This window comes from Homo sapiens, chromosome 17 (assembly GCF_000001405.40).
Source record: "Homo sapiens chromosome 17, GRCh38.p14 Primary Assembly".
Taxonomy (NCBI): Eukaryota; Metazoa; Chordata; class Mammalia; order Primates; family Hominidae; genus Homo; species Homo sapiens.
Genome location: NC_000017.11, coordinates 8,119,655 through 8,139,795, shown reverse-complemented (window position 1 = coordinate 8,139,795; position 20,141 = coordinate 8,119,655). Strand labels below are relative to the sequence as shown.

General features: G+C 51.7%; 1 protein-coding gene and 6 non-coding genes across 11 annotated transcripts, besides 15 other annotated features; 4 read left to right on the top strand and 3 right to left on the bottom strand.

The window, feature by feature from the left end:
* On the top strand, positions 271-344 carry TRT-AGT5-1 (tRNA-Thr (anticodon AGT) 5-1). The gene has a single exon. It is a non-coding gene; the product is annotated as a tRNA-Thr (tRNA).
* Positions 305-354: a silencer, noted in NCBI's record as "silent region_8162". NCBI's record gives its function as "represses an Ori minimal core promoter by ATAC-STARR-seq in GM12878 lymphoblastoid cells {active_cell/tissue: GM12878}" and the evidence as "EXISTENCE:reporter gene assay evidence [ECO:0000049][PMID:35858748]".
* Positions 715-884: a silencer, noted in NCBI's record as "silent region_8161". NCBI's record gives its function as "represses an Ori minimal core promoter by ATAC-STARR-seq in GM12878 lymphoblastoid cells {active_cell/tissue: GM12878}" and the evidence as "EXISTENCE:reporter gene assay evidence [ECO:0000049][PMID:35858748]".
* TRS-CGA1-1 (tRNA-Ser (anticodon CGA) 1-1) lies at positions 834-915 on the top strand. Its single transcript has one exon. It is a non-coding gene; the product is annotated as a tRNA-Ser (tRNA).
* Positions 905-964: a silencer, noted in NCBI's record as "silent region_8160". NCBI's record gives its function as "represses an Ori minimal core promoter by ATAC-STARR-seq in GM12878 lymphoblastoid cells {active_cell/tissue: GM12878}" and the evidence as "EXISTENCE:reporter gene assay evidence [ECO:0000049][PMID:35858748]".
* Positions 5,692-6,191: an enhancer, noted in NCBI's record as "H3K4me1 hESC enhancer chr17:8036923-8037422 (GRCh37/hg19 assembly coordinates)". NCBI's record gives its function as "activates a minimal SCP1, AML or CMV promoter by ChIP-STARR-seq in primed H9 embryonic stem cells {active_cell/tissue: H9 hESC(primed)}" and the evidence as "EXISTENCE:reporter gene assay evidence [ECO:0000049][PMID:30033119]".
* Positions 12,762-12,841: an enhancer, noted in NCBI's record as "active region_11665". NCBI's record gives its function as "activates an Ori minimal core promoter by ATAC-STARR-seq in GM12878 lymphoblastoid cells {active_cell/tissue: GM12878}" and the evidence as "EXISTENCE:reporter gene assay evidence [ECO:0000049][PMID:35858748]".
* Positions 13,092-13,281: a silencer, noted in NCBI's record as "silent region_8159". NCBI's record gives its function as "represses an Ori minimal core promoter by ATAC-STARR-seq in GM12878 lymphoblastoid cells {active_cell/tissue: GM12878}" and the evidence as "EXISTENCE:reporter gene assay evidence [ECO:0000049][PMID:35858748]".
* HES7 (hes family bHLH transcription factor 7) lies at positions 13,162-19,204 on the top strand. Of its 5 annotated transcripts, XM_047436941.1 has the most exons (5): positions 13,162-14,284; positions 14,642-14,708; positions 16,670-16,765; positions 17,366-17,453; positions 17,759-19,204. In XM_047436941.1, the coding sequence occupies exons 1-5, from the start codon at positions 14,223-14,225 to the stop codon at positions 18,223-18,225; spliced, it is 780 nt and encodes a 259-aa protein (XP_047292897.1). In that variant the 5' UTR covers positions 13,162-14,222; the 3' UTR covers positions 18,226-19,204. The 5 variants fall into 5 exon arrangements, with proteins under 5 accessions (XP_047292897.1, NP_115969.2, NP_001159439.1 ...); NM_032580.4 differs by lacking the exons at positions 13,162-14,284; positions 14,642-14,708 and adding an exon at positions 15,690-15,753 and having other exon boundaries at positions 17,774-19,204; NM_001165967.2 differs by lacking the exons at positions 13,162-14,284; positions 14,642-14,708 and adding an exon at positions 15,690-15,753.
* Positions 13,234-14,035: an enhancer, noted in NCBI's record as "H3K4me1 hESC enhancer chr17:8029079-8029880 (GRCh37/hg19 assembly coordinates)". NCBI's record gives its function as "activates a minimal SCP1, AML or CMV promoter by ChIP-STARR-seq in naive H9 embryonic stem cells {active_cell/tissue: H9 hESC(naive)}" and the evidence as "EXISTENCE:reporter gene assay evidence [ECO:0000049][PMID:30033119]".
* Positions 13,362-13,421: an enhancer, noted in NCBI's record as "active region_11664". NCBI's record gives its function as "activates an Ori minimal core promoter by ATAC-STARR-seq in GM12878 lymphoblastoid cells {active_cell/tissue: GM12878}" and the evidence as "EXISTENCE:reporter gene assay evidence [ECO:0000049][PMID:35858748]".
* Positions 13,962-14,011: a silencer, noted in NCBI's record as "silent region_8158". NCBI's record gives its function as "represses an Ori minimal core promoter by ATAC-STARR-seq in GM12878 lymphoblastoid cells {active_cell/tissue: GM12878}" and the evidence as "EXISTENCE:reporter gene assay evidence [ECO:0000049][PMID:35858748]".
* TRG-GCC2-6 (tRNA-Gly (anticodon GCC) 2-6) lies at positions 13,980-14,050 on the bottom strand. Its single transcript has one exon. It is a non-coding gene; the product is annotated as a tRNA-Gly (tRNA).
* Positions 14,122-14,171: a silencer, noted in NCBI's record as "silent region_8157". NCBI's record gives its function as "represses an Ori minimal core promoter by ATAC-STARR-seq in GM12878 lymphoblastoid cells {active_cell/tissue: GM12878}" and the evidence as "EXISTENCE:reporter gene assay evidence [ECO:0000049][PMID:35858748]".
* Positions 15,312-15,832: an enhancer, noted in NCBI's record as "H3K4me1 hESC enhancer chr17:8027282-8027802 (GRCh37/hg19 assembly coordinates)". NCBI's record gives its function as "activates a minimal SCP1, AML or CMV promoter by ChIP-STARR-seq in primed H9 embryonic stem cells {active_cell/tissue: H9 hESC(primed)}" and the evidence as "EXISTENCE:reporter gene assay evidence [ECO:0000049][PMID:30033119]".
* Positions 17,616-17,725: a silencer, noted in NCBI's record as "silent region_8156". NCBI's record gives its function as "represses an Ori minimal core promoter by ATAC-STARR-seq in GM12878 lymphoblastoid cells {active_cell/tissue: GM12878}" and the evidence as "EXISTENCE:reporter gene assay evidence [ECO:0000049][PMID:35858748]".
* Positions 17,946-18,405: a silencer, noted in NCBI's record as "silent region_8155". NCBI's record gives its function as "represses an Ori minimal core promoter by ATAC-STARR-seq in GM12878 lymphoblastoid cells {active_cell/tissue: GM12878}" and the evidence as "EXISTENCE:reporter gene assay evidence [ECO:0000049][PMID:35858748]".
* On the bottom strand, positions 18,784-18,871 carry TRR-TCT2-1 (tRNA-Arg (anticodon TCT) 2-1). The gene is given in 2 exon segments: positions 18,784-18,819; positions 18,835-18,871. It is a non-coding gene; the product is annotated as a tRNA-Arg (tRNA).
* Positions 19,346-19,555: a silencer, noted in NCBI's record as "silent region_8154". NCBI's record gives its function as "represses an Ori minimal core promoter by ATAC-STARR-seq in GM12878 lymphoblastoid cells {active_cell/tissue: GM12878}" and the evidence as "EXISTENCE:reporter gene assay evidence [ECO:0000049][PMID:35858748]".
* TRL-TAG1-1 (tRNA-Leu (anticodon TAG) 1-1) lies at positions 19,401-19,482 on the top strand. Its single transcript has one exon. It is a non-coding gene; the product is annotated as a tRNA-Leu (tRNA).
* Positions 19,926-20,015: a silencer, noted in NCBI's record as "silent region_8153". NCBI's record gives its function as "represses an Ori minimal core promoter by ATAC-STARR-seq in GM12878 lymphoblastoid cells {active_cell/tissue: GM12878}" and the evidence as "EXISTENCE:reporter gene assay evidence [ECO:0000049][PMID:35858748]".
* TRQ-CTG1-5 (tRNA-Gln (anticodon CTG) 1-5) lies at positions 19,973-20,044 on the bottom strand. Its single transcript has one exon. It is a non-coding gene; the product is annotated as a tRNA-Gln (tRNA).

Genomic DNA, 20,141 nt, shown 5'->3' with positions numbered 1-20,141 from the left:
TTGGTCACCACACAGAGAGGGCCCTTCAGCAGGTCAGTCTAGGTAGCTAAGGGACACATGGAGTCATGTGCTCACTCATGGTTGAGTTGGCCCCAAAGGTGTGGAAGAATGGAGAAGCAAAGCATTAACCCTTTGGCTCAGAACCTGAAAGGGAAGAGGCACCTTAGGAAGGGATGAGTCACTGAGGAACCACTGCAGGCAGTTTGCTGATTTTCACTTACTGTCACCCACTAAGAGTTGATTTATCTTGAGGAACACCTGTTTTACGCCGGCGCCGTGGCTTAGCTGGTTAAAGCGCCTGTCTAGTAAACAGGAGATCCTGGGTTCGAATCCCAGCGGTGCCTGAGTTAGCGGGGAGTGATATATTATTGCTGCAAGTACACTTCTCCACTTTCAAAGGGCCTTTCTAAGAAACATTTCTTCTAGACTCTCCCTAAGATTCTTCTTACATGCCAATCCGTCTTTGGACCTCCGTTTCCCTGCACTTTTAGTGTGTATTGGAAACTACAGATTCTCACTTCGGTTTCATGAAGTAGCCTGAAGTAGGCATCTCAGGGTCTGTCCTCAAGAGTATGGAAGACAGGGCTCGGATTTGGACCCGTTTTGTTTCCATCCTATGCTCAGGGAGGAGAGGGAGAATAGGAAGGCTGCCGCTCCAATGGGGCTGCTGACGTCTGCTGGAGGGAAGGCATGGTCTGCGCCACCGAGCAGAGGCGCACGAGCGCAGACGTCTCTAGGCGGCGCGGGTGGAGCCGGGCGGAGCCGGGCGGAGCCGGCTGGAGGCGGGCGTGTTGATAGGCAGCTATAGTTGCACAGGGCCGACAGCGCACGCGGCTGTGATGGCCGAGTGGTTAAGGCGTTGGACTCGAAATCCAATGGGGTCTCCCCGCGCAGGTTCGAATCCTGCTCACAGCGTCACTAGTTTTGGTATTTAGGTATCTCGGTCTCTGGAGAAGGAAAAAGCAGTTTGTTTTCTGGTTCTTTCCTTGGAGAATCTCCCGCGTTATTCTGAGAATCTCAGAGACTCGGCCGTCAGGGACCAGCCCGCGAGCGCCCTCTTGCGATTCTCATAGTCCTATCGACCTGCAAAAACTTTTTTACTGCGGATTTCAATTCCTAACGCCACCACACTCGGGTGGCTCCTTAGTGCTACTCAGCAATCGTTACTTTCCTCCAATTCATTCACTCTCATACTGCCCCATGAGACTGTTTCATTCCTACCCTCACCTCAAACTACGAATCCCTTCTCAGCTTTTACTTCCTGATTCACTGAGAAAATAAACCATTCCGGAGTTCCCCATCAACATTCACATCGCACCTACCTACCTACCTACCTAATTGAGTCGGTGACCACGTACTCTTCTTTTCCTTCATTATTGTAGAAGAATGCTTCCACCTAAAGCCAACCCCTACTTTTACTAGATTTCCCATCCCTCTGGCCATCTCAAAGACACTGCTTTTTCCTATACCATCAAAATTTCCCTCTCAGCCGGGCGTAGTGGCTCACGCCTGTAATCTCAACACTTTGGGAGGCTTGACGGGTGGATCACTTGAGGTCAGGAGTCCGAGACCAGTGAAACCCCAATCTCTACTAAAAATACAAAATTAGCCGGGCGTGGTGGCTGACGCACGCCTGTAATCCCAGCTACTCGGGAGGCTGAGGCAGCAGAAGCTCTTGAATCCGGGAGACGAAGGTCGCGCCATTGCACTCCAGCCTGGGCAACAATAGCAAAACTCCATCTCAAAAAAAAAAAAATCCCTCTCTACTTGATTTTTCTCTTCAGCCTACAGACACTAATTTCCCCCAATTTAGAAGCAAGACAACAAAAGCTATCTTGACCCCACACGCCTGTCCAGCTACCACTCAATTTCTCTACTCCCTTCTACAGCAAACAGAGCAAGTTATCCAATTCCATCTTCCCACTCTCCTTTGGACCCTTGCTAATCAGGTGTCCACCGCCCCCATCAAAGCTGCCCTTGTTAAGGTTGCCGAATGATCATCACATTGCTAAATCTATTGACCATTACTTCGTGGAAGCTGATACCGATGCTCACTCTTCCATTAGAAACACTCTTCGCTTGCCTTCTAGGACACTACGTCCTTCTGATATTCCTTCTACTTCATCAGCAGCTTATTCTCAGACTTCTTTGCTGTTCCTCACCTTCTGGATCTCTAAATGTTGGACTGTTCCCAAGGCTCAATTTTCCAACCTCTTCTCTATCTGTACCCACTACCTTGGTCATTTCCAGTTTCATGGCTTTAAATATCAGGTAATACATTAATACATCCCAGATTTTCATCTCCAGCTCCAGAACTCCCCCCTGAGTTACAGATGCTTATGTATTATTGCCCACATATCATCTACACTTGGAAAAAGCTAATACAGATCACAAACTTAAAATGTGCAAACCAAGGCCGGGCGCGGTGTCTCGTGCCTGTAATCCCAGCACTTTGGGAGGCCGAGGCGGGCGGCTCACCTGAGGTCGGGAGTTCGAGACTAGCCCAACCAACATGGAGAAACCCCGTCTCTACTAAAAACAGAAACTTAGCCGGGCGTGGTGGCACATGCCTGTAGTCCCAGCTACTCGGGAGGCTGAGGAAGGAGAATCACTTGAACCCGGGAGGCGGAGGTTGCGGTGAGCCGAGATCATGCCATTGCACTCCAGCCTGGGGAAAAAGAGTGAAACTCCGTCTCAAAAAAAAAAAAAAAAAAGTGCAAACCAAACGCCTAGGCTTCTTCCCCAAACCTCCTTCACCTGTGATCCTTTCATCTCAATAAATGGAAATTCCATTCCTTCAGTTATTTAGACTAAAAACCTTAGCGTCGTCCTTGATTGTTCTCTTTCTCTCCCACTCTACATCAAATGAGCCATTTCTATTTACAATATGTTAGGGTCAGGTGTGGTGGCTCACACGTGTAATCCCAGCGCTTTGGGTGGCCAAGGCAGGAGGATCTCTTGCGTCCAGGAGTTCAGGACCAGCCTGAGCAACATAACAAGACCCCAGTCTCTGTGAAGATTAAAAAAAAAAAAAAATTAGCTGAGCATGCTTGTTATCCCAGCTATTTGGGAGGCTGAAGAGGGAGTATCACTTGAGCCCGGGAGGTTGAGGCTGCAGTGAGCAGTGATTACACCACTGAACTCTAGCCTGGGTGATGGAATGAGACCCTGTCTCAAACAAAAAAAGAAAAAAGTCTAACATTTGACTATTTGCCATTACACCATGGTCCAAGCCACCCTCATCTCTCACCTAGATTATTGCAATACCCCCTAAGTTATTTCCTGGCTAGTTCCAGAGTCTACTTTTTTTTTTTTTTTTTTTGAACAGGGTCTTGCTCTGCCTCCAAGACTGGAGTGCAGTGGCGTGATCTGGGCTCACTGCAGCCTCCTGAGTTCAAGTGATTCTCATACCTCAGCCTCCCAAGTAGCTGGGACTACAGGTGTGCACCACCACGCCCAGCTAAATTTTGTATTTTTAGTAGAAATGGGGTTTTACCATGTTGCCCAGGCTGGTCTCGAACTCTTGACCTCAAGTGATCCATACCCCCCCACCCAGCCTCCCAAAGTGCTGGGATTACAGGTGTGAGCCACCACGCCTGGCCTCTACTCTCTTTTTTTTTTTTTTTTTTTTTTTTTTGAGACGGAGTCTGGCTCTGTCACCCAGGCTGGAGTGCAGTGGCACGATCTCGGCTCACTGCATGGCTCTGCCTCCCAGGTTCAAGCGATTCTCCTGCCTCAGCTGCCTAAGTAGCTGGGACTATAGGCGCGCACCACCATGCCCGGCTAATTTTTGTATTTTTAGTAGAGACGGGGTTTCGCCATGTTGGCCAGGATGGTCTTGATCTCTTGACCTCTTGATCCACCCGCCTCGGCCCCCCAAAGTGCTGGGATTACAGGCGTGAGCCACCGCTCCTGGCTGGCCTCTACTCTTAATATATTGGGTAGATTGATCCTTTTAAAACATAAATCAGGGACCAGGCGCGGTGGCTGACACCTGTAATCCCAGCACCTGGGAGGCCAAGGCGGGTGGATGACCAGCCTGGTCAATATGGTGAAACCCTATCTCTACCAAAAATACAAAAATTAGCCGGGCATGGTGGCGTGCACCTATAGTCCCAGCTACTCGGGAGGCTGAGGCAGACGAATCGCTTGAACCTGGGAGGCGGAGGTTGCAGTGAGCTGAGATCATGCCACTGCACTCCAGCCTGGGCGACAGAGTGAGACTCCGTCTCAGAAATAAACAAACAAACAAGAAAAGAAACATAAATCGGATTCTGTCATTTCTCTTTGAAGTCTTCTAATGGAGGTATCAATATGAATTCATTGTTTTTATGTGTACAGATACAGGAATAAATATAATAAATATATACACATACACAACATATACACATACACATATTTCCTAGCTCTGTCCACTGAGTGAGCCTAGAAACAATGATATCCCATACTAAATGCCCAGATCTTGGTTACTAAATGCCATTCTGTGCTAAAATGAAACAGGACTCCTTAGAGACGAGGCTGATTCCAGGACTGGGGCTGAAGAATTACAAGATGATCTTGGAACATTTTGTTGCACCAGAATGTAAAGAAATGCTCAAAGAATATTGGGTATGTATATCAAAAAAGACAGCAGCTAGGGTCTACAGCCAAAGGGGCTCCCATTGGCTAAATCTGGGACAATTTGAGCATTAAAATAAAGATTGTGATGGATTCTAATAAATGAATAAAATAAAAACCCAAAAGTAATACTGATATAAATAAATAAAGTGCAGTGGCTCATGCCTGTGCAAATCCTGGAGTTTTGGAGGACTGATTGAGCCCAGGAGTTCTAGACTAGCCTGGGCAACGTAGTGAGATCCCCATCTCTACAAAAAATAAAAAAATTAGCCAGGCCTTTCGGTGTACACCCATAATCCTAGCTACTTGGGAGATTGAGGAGGATCACTTGAGCCCAACAGTTCAAGGCTGCAGTGAGCTATGATGGCACCACTGCACTCCAGCCTAGGCAACAGAGCGAGTCCCTGTCTCAAAAAATGAATAAATAAATAAATAAATATTCTTACATATTGCCACCTCAGGGCTTTTGTGCTAGCAGTTCCCTCTGCCTGAAATGTTCTTCCCCAGTTATCCCATAACCTGCCCAGTCATCACTTAGATTTCGCCTTCTCAATGAATCCTTCGCTGATCGTCCCTGATGACATCTAAAATTACAATTCTCACTCTCCACTCCCCTTCTCTGATTGATTTTTTTCTTTTCTTTTCTTTCTTTTTTTTTTTTTGAGATGAAATCTAGCTCTGTCTCTCAGGATAGAGTGGAGTGGCCAGAACTTGGCTCACTGCAACCTCCGCCTCCCGGGTTCCAGTGATTCTCCTGCTTTAGCCTCGCGAGTAGCTGGGACTACAGGCATGCGCCACCACGCCCGGCTACTTTTTGTATTTTTACTAGAGACGGGGATTCACTATGTTGGCCAGGCTGGTCTCGAACTCCTGCCCTCAGGTGATCTGCCAGCCTCGGCCTCCCAAAGTGCTGGGATTACATGCGTGAGCCACTGCACCCCACCCAAGCTTAATTTATTTCTATAGCACCATCTAACAAATGATTTGCTTTGTATAATGTACATTGACTGTTTCCCCTAAAAGAATGTATGACTCATAAGGGCAGAGATCATTGTCTGTTTCTTTTGGGGCTATATCCCCAGGGCCTAGGACAGATCGAGGCCCACAGTATGCACCCTATAAATATGTGCTGAAGAATAAAGGAGGTTCAGGGATCCAGACCTTTTGTGTTTGTGGGGCTTTAAGTTCCTCAAGTGGTTTCACTGCCCTGTTTTCTCTGCCTGGGTCTGTGCTGCCCCTTCTCTTTTCTTTGATTTTGCCACCCAAGGCAAGCTGAGCGGGGCAAGACCTTAAGTTTGCCTTGCGGGCCTGGAGAGCGTCTATCCTGGTCTTTCCTTGGCCCAGGGTCCTGGTCCTCTTACTTCCCAACCCCCAATCCCCCAGGACCCAACCCTCCAGGAACTCCCTCTACCCAGGGCCCAGGGGCTCCCAGGAAACCAGCCTTCCTTTTGAAGAACTGAAGAGGGAGGAGCTAAGTCTTGGAAATCAGGACTGGGGAGACTTCACAATGAGGGAGGGGAGGCTGGGATGCTCTACCGGCTACTCCGTTCCTTCCCCACCCCCTGCGTTCCTTAAGCCCAGCGCACGTGGGACACGAGCTCCCCTCCCCCAAGCCCCAGTGTGGCCCACTGTTGAAAGGGCAGCCAGGAAGAGGCTGGAGGCTCAGACGTCCACACACACGCCATTAGGCCACGGTATAAATGGACACAGCCACAAACTGTGTCAGGCCCACGCTGACACAGAGGCGTGCAACCACACGGAGACCCCCACTGACACTCTGTGACACAGATACGCTGGGGATAGGAGTGGGAGAACATCTTCATAGGCCACATCTGCACTGGACCAACGAGCTCCAGAAAATTACCCAGACCTAGGTCCAGGAGTCTGAAGCTTAAATGATTTAGAAGGGGGAGGTGTGGAGGGAAACAACTATTTAAGTGTTTAAGGAAAAATATGGCCAGGTGTTGTGGCACAGGCCTAGAATCCCAGCGCTTTGGGAAGCCAAGGCCAGAGGATCGCTTGAGGCCAAGAGTTTGAGACCACCCTGGGCAACATATTGAGACCCTCATCTCAAAAAAGAAAAAGAAAAAAAAAAAGGGAAAAAGTACAAAATTAGGTACAAAAAGTAATATTTAGAGTGAAATGAGAGATGGCAACAACTTACAAATTTTAAAAGGTGACAAAGGCCGGGAGCGGTGGCTCATGCTTGTAATCCCAGCACTTTGGGAGGCTGAGGCGGGCGGATCATGAGGTCAGGAGTTCGAGACCAGCCTGACCAACATGGTGAAACTCCATCTCTACTACAAATACAAAAATTAGCTGGGCGTGGTGGCATGCGCCTATAATCCCAGCTACTCAGGAGGCTGAGGCAGGAGAATCGCTTGAACCCAGGAGGCGGAGGTTGCAGTGAGCCAAGATGGCGCCATTGCTCTCCAGTCTGGGCGACAGAGCAAGACTCCGTCTCAAAAATAAATAAGTAAAAATAAAATAAAATAAAAGGCAAAAATTTCACACTGTCCAGAAAAATAACTTAACAGTTTTAATTTTTTTTCTTTGAGACAAGGTCTCACTCCTGTTGCCCAGGCTGGAGTGCAGTGGCACAATTACAGCTCACTGCAGCCTCGACTTCCCCAGCTCGGGTGATTCTCTCACCTCAGCCTTCCAAGTAGCTGAAACAGGAACAGGCCACCATACCTGGCTAATTTTTTTTTTTTTTTGTATTTTTAGCAGAGATAGGTTTCACCGTGTTGCCCAGGCTGGTCTCAAACTCCTGGACTCAAGCAGTCCACCTGCCTTGACCTCCCAAAGTGCTGGGATTCATATGTGAGCCACTGCACCCAGCCAGCTATTTGTAGTACTTACTGCCCACACACCTCTATAGCACTTTCCATAGACTAGCTGCTAACTCTCTATATTTCAAATCTTGTTTCTCCTCTACCACCCATGACTCATAATGTCAAGAGCCATCAGACATTCATATCACATGTGTCTCTGGCCCTGCACACTTCCAGCACGAAGCCTAGTGACTGGGCAAAGGAAATAGGAGTATCCCTGGAAGCCATTCCTACCCTAGATGAGGAGGCTAACTTAACTCAATATTGGCTGAGAACCGTGGCTCATGCCTGTAATCCTAGTACTTTAGGAGGCCAAGATGGGAGGATCACTTGAGACAAGCCTGGGCAACATAGTGAGACCCCAGTCTCACAAAAAATTAAAATTAAAAAAAAAAAATACCTGGGTGTGGTGGTGCATATCTGTTGTTCCAGCTACTCCAGAGGCTGATGTAGGGGGATTGCTTGAGCCCTGGAGGTTGAGGCTGCAGTCCCACCACTGCACTTCAGCCTGGGGGACAGACAGATCAAGACACCCTGTCTCAAAAACAAAGCAAAACAAACAAACAAAAACACCAAAACCCCAAAACAAAAAAAACCTATATATGGAAGTGACTACAAATCATCTAAATGTATCCCACAAATCCAACTCACCTTCTCCACAGCTAGATCCCCCAAAATGCTCACAGCCAGCCACTGTAACACTGGGGATGAGTGGTGATGTGATGGACGGGCCGCAGGAGCAGCCAGAGTAGAGACTGGCCTTTGTCAGTTGCAGTGAAATGCCGAAGGTATGCACAATTTGTTTTTTTTGAGACGGAGTCTTGCTGTTGCCCAGGCTGGAGTGCAGTGGCATGATCTCGGCTCACCGCAACCTCCACCTCCCGGGTTCAAGCAATTCTCCTGCCTCAGCCTCCCGAGAAGCTGGGATTACAGGCACCACCACCATGCTCGGCTAATTTTTTTTTTTTTTTTTTGAGATCTGCCCACCTCAGCCTCCCAAAGTGCTGGGATTACAGGTGTGAGCCACTGTGCCCGGCCTCCCTTATTATTTTTAATTGACAAATAATTATATGTATTTATGGGGTAAAATGTGATGTTTCCATATAAGGATACATTGTAGAACGATTAAATCAAGCTAATTAACACATCCGTCACCTCATCTACTTATTTTTTCGTGGTGAGAACATTTAAAATAGACTTTTGAGACTCTGTCTCAAAAAAAGAAAAAAGAAAAAGGAAAAAATTACTTATTCTTGTTGGATACAGGTTAAAAAAAGAAAAAAGTGTTCATTCACTTATTATTATTATTATTTTTGAGATGGAGTCTTGCTCTGTTGCCCAGGCTAGCATGCAGCAGCGCTATCTCAGCTCACTGCAAGCTCCGCATCCGGGGTTCACACCATTCTCCTGCCTCAGCCTCCCGAGTAGCTGGGATCACAGGTGCCTGCCACCATGCCTGGCTAATCTTTTTTGTATTTTTAGTAGAGACGGGGTTTCACCGTGTTAGCCAGGATGGTCTCGATCTCCTGACTTCCTGATCTGCCCACCTCACCCTCCCAAAGTGCTGGGATTACAGGTGTGAGCCCCTGAGCCCGGCCTCACTTATTATTTTTAATTGACAAATAATTATATATATTTATGGGGTAAAATGTGATGTTTCCATATAAGGATACATTGTAGAATGATTAAATCAAGCTAATTAACACATCCATCACCTCATCTATTTATTTTTTCGTGGTGAGAACATTTAAAATAGACTTTTAATAATTTCATAATATACAATACGTTATTACTAACCATGCTGTGGAATAGATAGCAAAATCTCCTTCTTCATACACCCTCTTTTCTGGATTTCCAGAACACCCCACTCCCCCTGGTTTTCCTGTTGCCTCTCTGACCGCTCTAGTCTCCGTTGCCAATTCTTCCTCCTCAACCAATCTCTAGGTGTTGGGGTGCCCCAGAGGTCCATGTTCAGCCTTTTCTTTTCTTCTTCTTCTTTTTTCTTTTTTTTTTGTTTGAGACAGATTCTCATGCCCAGGCTGGAGTGCAGTGGCTCAATCTCGGCTGACTGCAACCTTGGCCTCCCGGGCTCAAACGATTCTCCTGCCTCAGCCTCCTGAGTAGCTGGGACTACAGGCGTGCGTCACTATGCCCAGATAATTTTTCTATTTTTTGTGGAGACGGGGTTTTGTCATGTTGGGCAGGCTGGCCTCGAACTCCTGACCTTAGGTGATCCACCCGCCTCAGCCTCCCAAAGTGCTAAGATTACAGGCATGAGCCAACACACCCGGCCCATGTTCAGTCTTTTCCCGCCACATTTTCTCTCTAGGTGCTCCAGTCTTATAGCATTAAAAGACGTCTATCTCCCAATCACTCCAGCGTATTTACCCTCCAGCTCTGATCTCCAAACTTGTATATCCCTAACCTATGTGTGACCTCCACCTAGATATCTTTTTTTTGAGCGGAGTCTTCCTCTGTTGCCGAGGCTGGAGTGCAATAGCGCAGTCTAGGCTCACTGCAACCTCTGCCTCCCGGGTTCAAGAGATTCTCCTGCCTCAGCCTCTGGAGTAGCTGAGACCACAGGCGCATGCCACCATACCCAGCTAGTTTTTGTATTTTTAGTAGAGACGGTGTTTCACCATGTTGGCCAGGTTGATCTCAAACCCCTGACCTCGTGATCCACCCGCCTTGGCCTCCCAAAGTGCTGGGATTACAGAAGTGAGCCACCGCGCCTGGCCAGGATGTCTTAACTAATATGGCTAAAGTATAATGCTTGATTTCTCTTCCTAAACCTCTCCCCGACCCCACAGGTTTTCCCATCTCAGTTAAAAGCCACCACCACCGTCTACCCAGTTACAGTCATGCGCTGCATAACAATGTTTTGGTCAATGATGGACTGCATATATATATATATGATTATAATGGGGATTGCCGGATGCAATGGCGTACGCCTGTAATCCCAGCACTTTGGGAGGCCAAGGCGGGCAGATCACTTGAGGTCAGGAGTTCAATACCAGCCTGGCCAACATGGTGAAACCCTGTTTCTACTAAAAATACAAAAATTAGCCGGGCGTGGTGGCTAATGCCTGTAATCCCAGATATTCGAGCAGCTATTCGAGAGGCTGAGGCAGGAGAATCGCTTGAACCCGGGAGGCAGAGGTTGCAGTGAGCCGAGATCCCACCATTGCACTCCGTCCTGGGCAACAAGAGCAAGATTATAATGGGGCTAAAAAAAAATCCTTATCGCCAGGCTCGGTGATAAGCACTTCGGGAGGCCGAGGCTGGCAGATAACGAGGTCAGGAGATCGAGACCAGCCTGAGCAACATGGTGAAACCCCGTCTCTACTAAAAATACAAAAGTTAGTGGGGTGTGGTGGCACAGGCCTGTAATCCCAGCTACTCGGGAGCCTGAGGCAGGAGAATCGCTTGAACCCGGCAGGCGGAGGTTGCAGTGAGCCGGGATCGCCCCACTGCACTCCAGCCTGGGCAACTGAGTGAGACTCTGCCTCAAAACAAAAAGGAAAAAAAAACCCGAAAAATTCCTATCACCCAAAGATGGCATAGCTATCATAACATTGTAGTGCCATGCGTTACCTTTTAGGTACACAAATGCTTACAATTGTGTACAATTGCCTCCAGCATTCAGTACAGTACCATGCTGTAGCTGTACAGGTTTGCAGCCTAGGAGCACAATAGGCTGTATAGTGTAGCCTAGGTGTGTAGAAGGCTCTACCATCTAGGTTTACATCACTACACTCTGTGATGTCTGAATAATGAAATTGCCTAGCAACGCATTTCTTTGAATATATCCGCACGTTAAGCAAATACATGATCTTACCTAAGACAAAGACCTAGGAGTAACCCCTTCATGTTTTCTCTCCCCACCACCACCTCAAGGCATTGCCTAAAAGACTGCTTCAGCCCCCTGAATGAGCCCTCTGCCTTCATTCTCCAAATAGCAACAAAAGCGATCTTTTAATTTTATCTATCTATCTATCTATCTATCTATCTATCTATCTATCTATCTATCTATCTAGAGTCTCGCTCTGTCGCCCAGGCTGTAGAGCAGTGGCGCGATCTTGGCTCACTGCAGCCTCCCCTCTCAGGCGCGGACCATCACCCCTGGCTAATTTTTTTTTCTTTTTTCTTTTTTATTTCATTGAGACAGAGTCTGGGTCTGTTGGCCAGGCGAGAGTGCAGTGGTGCGATTACGGCTTACTGCAACCTCGCCTCCCGGGTTCAAGCGATTCTCCTGCCTCAGCCTCCCAAGTAGCTGGGATTACAGGCCCACGCCATCACTCCCGGCTAATTTTTGTATTTTTAATAGAGACAGGGTTTCGCCATGTTGGCCAGGCTGGTCTCGAACTCCTGGGCTCAAGCGATCCGCCTGACTCAGCCACCCAAAGTGCTGGGATTACAGGCGTGAGCCACAGCGTCCGGTCCAAAGTGATCTTATTAATTATTATTATTATTTTGAGACGGAGTCTCGCTCTGTTACCCAGGCTGGAGTGCAGTGGCGCGATCTCGGCTCACTGCAAACTCCGCCTCCCGGGTTCAAGCGATTCTCCTGCCTCAGCCTCTAGAGTAGCTGGGATTACAGGCGTGTGCCACCACGCCCGGCTAATTTTTGTATTTTTAGTACAGACGGGGTTTCCCATGTTGGCAGGCTGGTCTCGAACTCCTGACCTCAGGTGATCCACCTGCCTCGGCCTCCCAAAGTGCGGGGATTACAGGCGTGAGCCACCGCGCCTGGCCCCAAAGTGATCTTTTAAAACATCAGTCAGAGAATATAACTTTGCTGATGAAAATCCCCCACTGGCTTCCAATTGCCGTTATAATCCAAATTCCTTCAATACTCTCCAAGATCCTGTGGGATGGGCTACGCCTGACTCTCTAATCTGATCTCTGCCACTCTGCAAATCCTCCATCCCGAGTTCGCCGGACCTCTTTCTCCAGCTCCCACCAGCAAATAGCTCTCCTGCCTCAGAGCCTGTACTTGCAGATCCTTTTGCCTGGACTCAAGGCTGCTGACTACGCTGGCATCAAATATCACTTCTTCATAGAGGCTGTCTCTTACCACCCAGAGTAAAGTAGCCCTTCACTTTCAAGTCATCGCCATGACCTTTTTGTTGTTGTTGTTGTTGTTTTCTTCCCACAGCCTTATAACCATCTGAAGCTATCTTATGTTATTTTTTGCTTTCGTAGTTATTGTCTGTCTTTCCCTCTGTAATATAAGCTTCAGGAAAGCCCAGACCCAATGTACTCCTTACAGTACTCGGCACACAGGAGGCACCCCATAAATATGGGCTGACCGAATAAATCCAGCAGCTGCGCACACAGGCATATAGATAGATGCACTTTTTTTTTTTAACAGTTTCCTTCTGGAGGCCACGGTTACTACTTAGCGCTAAGAACAGAGCATTGGCAGTCACAGATACAATCCGAGGACGAGACAGAGACCCAGACCCTGGCGCAAATAAAACAGGTTGAAAGAAACGGGAGGGACAGCTCCAGGGTGAATTCCAGAGACAGAGACCCAGATAGACTAAGGCCGAGACCCAGATTCACTCAGCGAACCTGAGCCCCGAGCCCACAGGCCCCGGCAGCGACCGCGGACAGAGCCAGGAGGAGGCGAGCGGTGGGAGGCGGAGCGCGCCGGAAGGGAGCGGACCGCGGGGAGCCCCGCCGCCCCGCCCAGCCGGCCCGCCCCGCCCCGCTCACAAGTGGTCGCCGCAGGTGGCTGTGCGCCCACCCGCCCGCCCTCGGGCCGACGCGTGCGGGATCAAAGCGGCCGGGAAGGGGCGGGGAGGGGAGGTGGCAGGAACCTGGAAGTGTCAGCGAGCTTCCCAGGGGATGGCAGGAGCGTGGGAGCGCAGAGTCCCGGGAGGCGACAGAGACTCGGAGAGACGACGAGATACCAGAGACCCGAGAGAGCCAGAGGCGGAGATGCAGACGCCAAGACGCGGAGAGACGCGGAATCAGAGATGCGGAGGGAGGAGACCACCAACACCAGAGAGACCCAGGGCAGAAGTCGCTGAAGATCTGGAAAAAACGTGAGAGATACAGAGATGGAGGAGCTAAGAGACACTCAGAGACCCGGAAAGGAGGCGAGACAAAAAAGGCATAGACCCATAGACTTAAGAAAAGAAAGCGTGCTTCAGAGAGAACGGAAAATAACAGAGGAAGAGAGGTGGAAAGAACAAGGGATGTAGAGTGGGGGGCGGGGAGACCTGGCCCTTCCCCCGCGGGGGGCCGAGATCCGAGCACTGTGTCCTTTCTCAGGGTCACGCCTGCGGAGGTGCGGGCCGGGGACGGAGGGAGGGGGGTGTGGAGGCTGCAGGACCCCCATGCTGGGAGGAGGGGAGTGCGAGGGCGTGCGGAATCGTTTAGGCCTGGGGCTGCAAACTCTGCTATAGTCAAAAGGTTAAGATTAATATTTGGTAGAAATATTTAAGTGAAGATGTTTCTTAGAAATGCTACCAAATATATTATCCTTTTTTTGGAGGGGAGAAAAGAAAACTGTACTCGTGCATTGGCCGGGAATCGAACCCGGGCCTCCCGCGTGGCAGGCGAGAATTCTACCACTGAACCACCAATGCGCGGCTTAAAGATTCTGCGGGGATCCTATCTGAGATTGTAAGAGGTTGAGGCGGACCCGGACAGGCAACGGTGTAGGCCAGGGAAGTGGTCCCGAATGGTTGCCGTGGGTGGAGCGCCAAGTCATCCTTCCTCTCGTCCGGATCCGGCCACCGGGCCATAAAGCCGCCCCATATGGCCAGGGGCGGCCCCACACCCGGGTGCGAACAGCCGGGGGCCCCCAGCCTCGCGTGCAGGTGAGAAAAATTCAGCCCGAGCCCAGGTTCCCAAGGAGGGGGGCGGCGGGGGCTGATGGGGACACACATTTGCGTTCCCATTTGGCTGAAGGACGGAGAGGTGGGATGTGCTGGGGGCCCTGATCCCAAATGGGAGCCCCCTCCTCAAGGTCTGTGCCTCTCCCGGCTCGGGCTATGATGGCAAGAAAGGCTTCGTGACAAAACCAAGGTGCGGAGGGCCGTTGGGAGGGCTTGAAGGAAACCCCATTGGTCTCTGATTTCACAGCTGTCTTCCGTCTCGGTCTGCAACCCTGTCTTTCCGTGTCTTTATCCCTGGCAACCTGGCTGTTCCCTTCAGTTTCTGATTTATCTTCTCAGACACTTTGTCCTGAAGCCCTCGAGTGGTCAGGCATCGTTCTGCGGAGGGTCATGCTCTTGGTTTGAGGTGGGTGTTGATCCCTTTTTTGTACCCCTTGCTTTCCCCTTAGTAAACTGCCTGCTCCCTGCTACCCTACAGTCACCAGGGGCCTCCAGAAGCAAGCAATGCGGGCACACTTGCGTGAGGTGTCCTATCAGCCACACTCCTGAATCTCCTATGACTAGTTTTGAATCAAATACTTGTACTGTAAGTGGAAAGACCTCTCCACTCATACCTATGTTTCAAAGACTTGCTCCCTCTGCCTTGAAGATCCTCCTCAGTCCAGCCATCCTTAAGGAGACCTTTTCCCGGAGCACCTACTTCACTGGGCTTCTGTAATAGCTACTTGGTGTCACATGGTCTTTTCCATTAGATCCTGCAGGGATAAGCTGGGTCTCTCCTGCGTATCTCACTATGACTCGCCCGAGCCTAGACAAGTGCCCTGTCCGCAGAGTGGGCGCGCAGATGTTCGCGGACTTGAATGTAACTGGCTTAGATAGAAGAGAGCGCCTCTCCAACCTCCCGGCAGAGCTTCGGTTGAGTCGGACAGATTCACCCAGCGCACTCGGGTTGCTCCCTGTCTCGACTAGGAAGCGAACTTCGGAGATGATGTATAAAATTCAGCCTGGGGGCTGAGAGGTGCTAACTTCTATTTCAGGGTTAGTGAGGGTACAGTAAGCCTCCCAGAAAGCTGCAATTCTGGAGGAACTCTGAATTTCATCCCCAAGCGAGCTCTGCCCCAATAGCCTCCTCCTTTCAGCTGGGTCCCGCCTCCTTATACAGCCTTACGGTCTGTAAACCAGCCAGTGCCCCCATTCACCCCTCACTTCCCGCACTCCCAGGCCAGTTTCTCTCCTTCCCCTCCCCCCTTCACTCCTCCTCTTTCCGGGAGCCTCGTGCCGGGTCCTAGAGGGGCAGAATCTGGATGTCGAAGGGGGCGGGGTCGGGTCCTATCCCTCCTACCCTTGGGCCGCGGAATATAAGGCTCCAGGCGAGCAGGGAACCGGTCCACACAGGGTCCGGAGGAGCAATGGTCACCCGGGATCGAGCTGAGAATAGGGACGGCCCCAAGGTGAGAGGCGGGAGGGGAGGGAGCAGAGGTCCCTGGTTTGGCTAGGGGACTGGGCCCCTGACGCCGTCGGTCTGGAGAGAGGCTGGGGACGCAGGGGTGGAAGGGGAGCGGTGCTCCAGAACTCCAGGAGCCAGAAGCTGGAGAGGAAGCTGCAAAATATGAAGAAGGGGACAGGGGTCAGAGCCAGACCTGAGTGGGCGGCGGGAACATAGGACTAGGGGCCTCGGTAATGGGTGTCGGCACCTTGTGGCCTGGGGAGGGGGCCGGTGTTGGAGTAAAATAAGCAATTAGAGGGCAGAGCCAAGGGAGGAGGGTGGGAACGAAAAGAGAAGAGGATAGGCACTTGCTCCACTCTGGCTGTGAGCCGGGCGGGGCTGGCCCAAGGCGGTCTTGTACAGAAGGTCCCGGGGCGTTGGTTCCAGAGGCCCCAGACTGGTGGAAGATTTTAGGAGAACCGTGGAGAAGGTGAAGGCCTGGAGGGTTTTGAGGGAAAAGAGGCGGCGCGGTCGCGCTAGGTATCTCCCTTTCTATACTCAGGGCCGCCAGGTCTGAGCCCGGCACCGTGCGGCGCACGTGCGTGCGCGCAGAGAGTCCCCAAAGTTCTCCACTGAGACAAAGAGAAACTGCACCAGACGGAGACGTAGAGAGAAAAGAGGAGGAGAGACACAGAGAGGGGAGGAGGGAGGACGAGACTGAGAGAGGAGAATGCGAAGATCCGGGGAGGCGAGCTACAGAAACTGATCTAGGGGCATTGGGAGGGGGAGCGGAGAGGGATCGAATGGGGCCGGCCCTAGGCAATCTGGGGTCTTGTGGCCGGGGTGGAAGCCGGGCTCTCCCAGCGGCGGGATCCGACGCCGGGGCGGCCGCACTGAGTCTCGGTCTGGTCGGCCCGCTCTCCTTTTCTCGCTGGTCGCAGATGCTCAAGCCGCTTGTGGAGAAGCGGCGCCGGGACCGCATCAACCGCAGCCTGGAAGAGCTGAGGCTGCTGCTGCTGGAGCGGACCCGGGACCAGGTCAGTCCCTCCGCTAGCCCTAGGTCCCCAAGCTTCCCGTTTCCGCGTCCCAGGGCTTCCCACTGGGGTGGGGACACAAGCTTGGTTGGCAACCCTGGCCCCAAGGCATCCTCACCCGAGTCCCGCCTTTGGAATTCCATCCCAGACCCCCACTCGCTCTCAGAACGCGATCTTCTTCGCCACCCCTCGGGTCTGTAAGTTTCACGCCTGGTTCTGTAAATTTCGCTCCCGGGGTCGGTCAGTTTCACCCTTTGGGTCTCTAAGTGTCCGGTTCCCCCTCCCCCACAGCCAGCCTCTGATGAGCCAGCCTCTGTTATGTCGGGTGGTTAATTTCATTCCCTGGGTTGCGGTTTCAAATCTCCTCCTCACGCGTTGGGCATTGGTTCCAACCCCTAGGATTGGACAGTTTCGTCTCAGGGTGGGCCAGGACTTTCCTTGGTCATCTCCACTCCGCATTTGGTCGCGCGTTCTGTGGGCAGTGCGCAAATGCGATCGGGGGCACCACCAGCTCCCGCATCCGTCCCTCCCTTCTTCCCCCTGCCACTTTCCCCCTTTCTCCCCACCCCTTTCTGTCTCTGCGCCCTCCCCTCCCGTCTGTAGAACCTCCGGAACCCGAAGCTGGAGAAAGCGGAGATATTGGAGTTCGCCGTGGGCTACTTGAGGGAGCGAAGCCGGGTGGAGCCCCCGGGTACAGCGCGGGGGTGGGGCAGCGGAGGGAGGGAGGGGGGACGCCAGGAGGCTCCGGCCGGGGCAGAGTGGGCGGGCCCTGCGGTGGATGGTGGGCTTGGGGAGTGGCCGGTTCTGCTCCGAGGCGAGGTTAATAACACCCGCGCGTGTCTGTCTCTGTGTCTCCCTCATTTTCTCCCTCTTTCCGTCCATCTGGCTTCCTGTCTCTGTGCGCCTGTCCGGCCTTGGTATCTCTGCGCCCCGCCCCTTCCCTCACCCCTGCCGGGCCCCTGCCCTGCCCACCTGTGCTCCCGCCGGCCGCACCAGCCGCCGCGGCTCCAGGGGTTCCCCGGTCCCCAGTCCAGGACGCCGAGGCGCTCGCCAGCTGCTACTTGTCCGGTTTCCGCGAGTGCCTGCTTCGCTTGGCGGCCTTCGCGCACGACGCCAGCCCGGCCGCCCGCGCCCAGCTCTTCTCCGCGCTGCACGGCTATCTGCGCCCCAAACCGCCCCGGCCCAAGCCGGTAGATCCGAGGCCTCCAGCGCCGCGCCCATCCCTGGACCCCGCCGCACCGGCCCTTGGCCCTGCGCTGCACCAGCGCCCCCCAGTGCACCAGGGCCACCCTAGCCCGCGCTGCGCATGGTCCCCATCCCTCTGCTCCCCGCGCGCCGGGGATTCTGGCGCGCCGGCGCCCCTCACCGGACTGCTGCCGCCGCCACCGCCGCCTCACAGACAAGACGGGGCGCCCAAGGCCCCGCTGCCCCCGCCGCCCGCTTTCTGGAGACCTTGGCCCTGAGCCTTGGGGGGTGGTGGGGGCGGGGTCTAGGGGTGGGGTAGAGACTCCAGCCCGAGGGCAGCAGAGGGACCCGGGCGTCCGGGCGAGCAGGTGTTGGGGAGGGCAGTGGGGCGCGCGGGCTCAGCGCGCGGGTGAGATGTGGTCTATATTAGAGTATCTATATAAATATATATTTCCCTGGTTCCTGTCCCTTTTCCCTGCCCCAACTTCTCCCTTGCGTCTAGGATTGTACTCTCTCTGCCCCTCAGCCCAGTCCCAGTCCCTTCCCGAGTCCCTAGTGCATGGAATAAAGTGGTTATTAAATCCCCGTGTGTCCCCGAGCCAGGGGCCTGCCTTTATCTCGACGTCCACGCCCACTTTCCCTTCCCTTCTGTCTCCCACCCTCAGTCCTGCTCTCCATGGCCCAAGCCCCGGGGCAGACAGGTAAGTAAAGAAGAGAGCAGAGCGGGAACTGAGATCGAAATTGAAACCAGGTGGAAAGAGAGAGATAGGGTAGGGGGAGAAGGGATGGGGGCCTTTAAGAAAAAAACGGATAAAAAGGAAAAATTGAAATAAAATCGACTCTGGTGGGATTCGAACCCACAACCTTTGAATTGCTCTATTCGTCACTAGAAGTCCAATGCGCTATCCATTGCGCCACAGAGCCACCCGACGAACGGCGGCGTCTTGTAGCTTACGGGTACTAGAGTGGGAATGGGGCAGGGTTGGGGAGCGGGGCTAAGGGACTTGGGCGGGACATGCCAGGAGGGCGCGGTTTGGATCTCAGAGGCCAAGCCAGGTAGAGGTAGCGGGCGCAAAGCATGTTAGCCAGGTGAGAGAGAGGGCGCACATGGGTCGAAAAAACAGGGAGGGAGAGCAACCGAAAATGGCTGAGCGAGCGAGTGCAGAGCTCCGGCTGCCCGCTTGGGGGGTGTTTCCGGCTCAGGCGCTCCCCACTCCCAGATATAGTCCCACCCAAATAAACTAGTTTTGTTGTAAATTTCTGTGTGTTTTTGTCTCTTCTCGTTTATCTGTTCTGCCATCTGCTGCTATGCGGTCCACAGTCTCGATGGTTCTTCATTTCCAGTCTAAAAGATGTGGAAAAGGAGACGAATCAATTTGGCACTCTTAAGATTTGCCCCATTCCTTACTTCTAGTCTCTTAGGAGGACAACGGGGACAGTAAGTTTTCGTGCAGGTAGCGTGGCCGAGCGGTCTAAGGCGCTGGATTTAGGCTCCAGTCTCTTCGGAGGCGTGGGTTCGAATCCCACCGCTGCCAGGCTGGAGTTTTTCTGGTGGATTACGCACCTGCTACAGTTCTGTTAACAGTTCTGTGAGGTTACACCTATTTACATGCAGAAAGTAATTTTACGAATTCCCCTGGTAATGGTTTCACCATCATCTTCCGTGTTTGGTCTTCCAGAGAGATCATAGGCCTGCATCCATCCCAGAAGCTAAGACCTGATGGTAACTGCTGAAGCAATATTTCGTTTCTTCATAACATCTCTATTATTTCGTTTCTTCATAACATCTCTATTTTAACATGTTTTCAAATGTTAGCTCAACTTCCAACATATTTAAATAATTTATTGTACGTTCTCTTAACACTGTGTTATAGGACTCAATTATCCGGTAGGAAAAGCACAAATAATTGGTAGTGTCCTAGTTTACTTTTTTTTTTTGTCGTATTATCTTGGGTCATAGGAGTATCCCCTCTGTGAAAATCAATTAACAATATTCAACATGCTGATATTAAAAGAAAAGCTTCAAGGTTCCACCGAGATTTGAACTCGGATCGCTGGATTCAGAGTCCAGAGTGCTAACCATTACACCATGGAACCTCCCTCGTGGTGTCTTTCAAGATTGTGTACATTACTGGACATTCTATTTTGCGTGTCTTCCACACCCGTCACTTAAAACGAAAACAAAACAAAGTCT

What these genes read in the sequence shown, in the direction of transcription:
- HES7 (XM_047436940.1), top strand. Translation starts at nt 16,532, where the DNA reads ATGGGGCCGGCCCTAGGCAATCTGGGGTCTTGTGGCCGGGGTGGAAGC. An exon ending in TGGAGCGGACCCGGGACCAG is followed by an intron (nt 16,766 to 17,365) that starts GTCAGTCCCTCC and finishes TCCCGTCTGTAG; the next exon opens with AACCTCCGGAACCCGAAGCT. An exon ending in AAGCCGGGTGGAGCCCCCGG is followed by an intron (nt 17,454 to 17,758) that starts GTACAGCGCGGG and finishes CGGCCGCACCAG; the next exon opens with CCGCCGCGGCTCCAGGGGTT.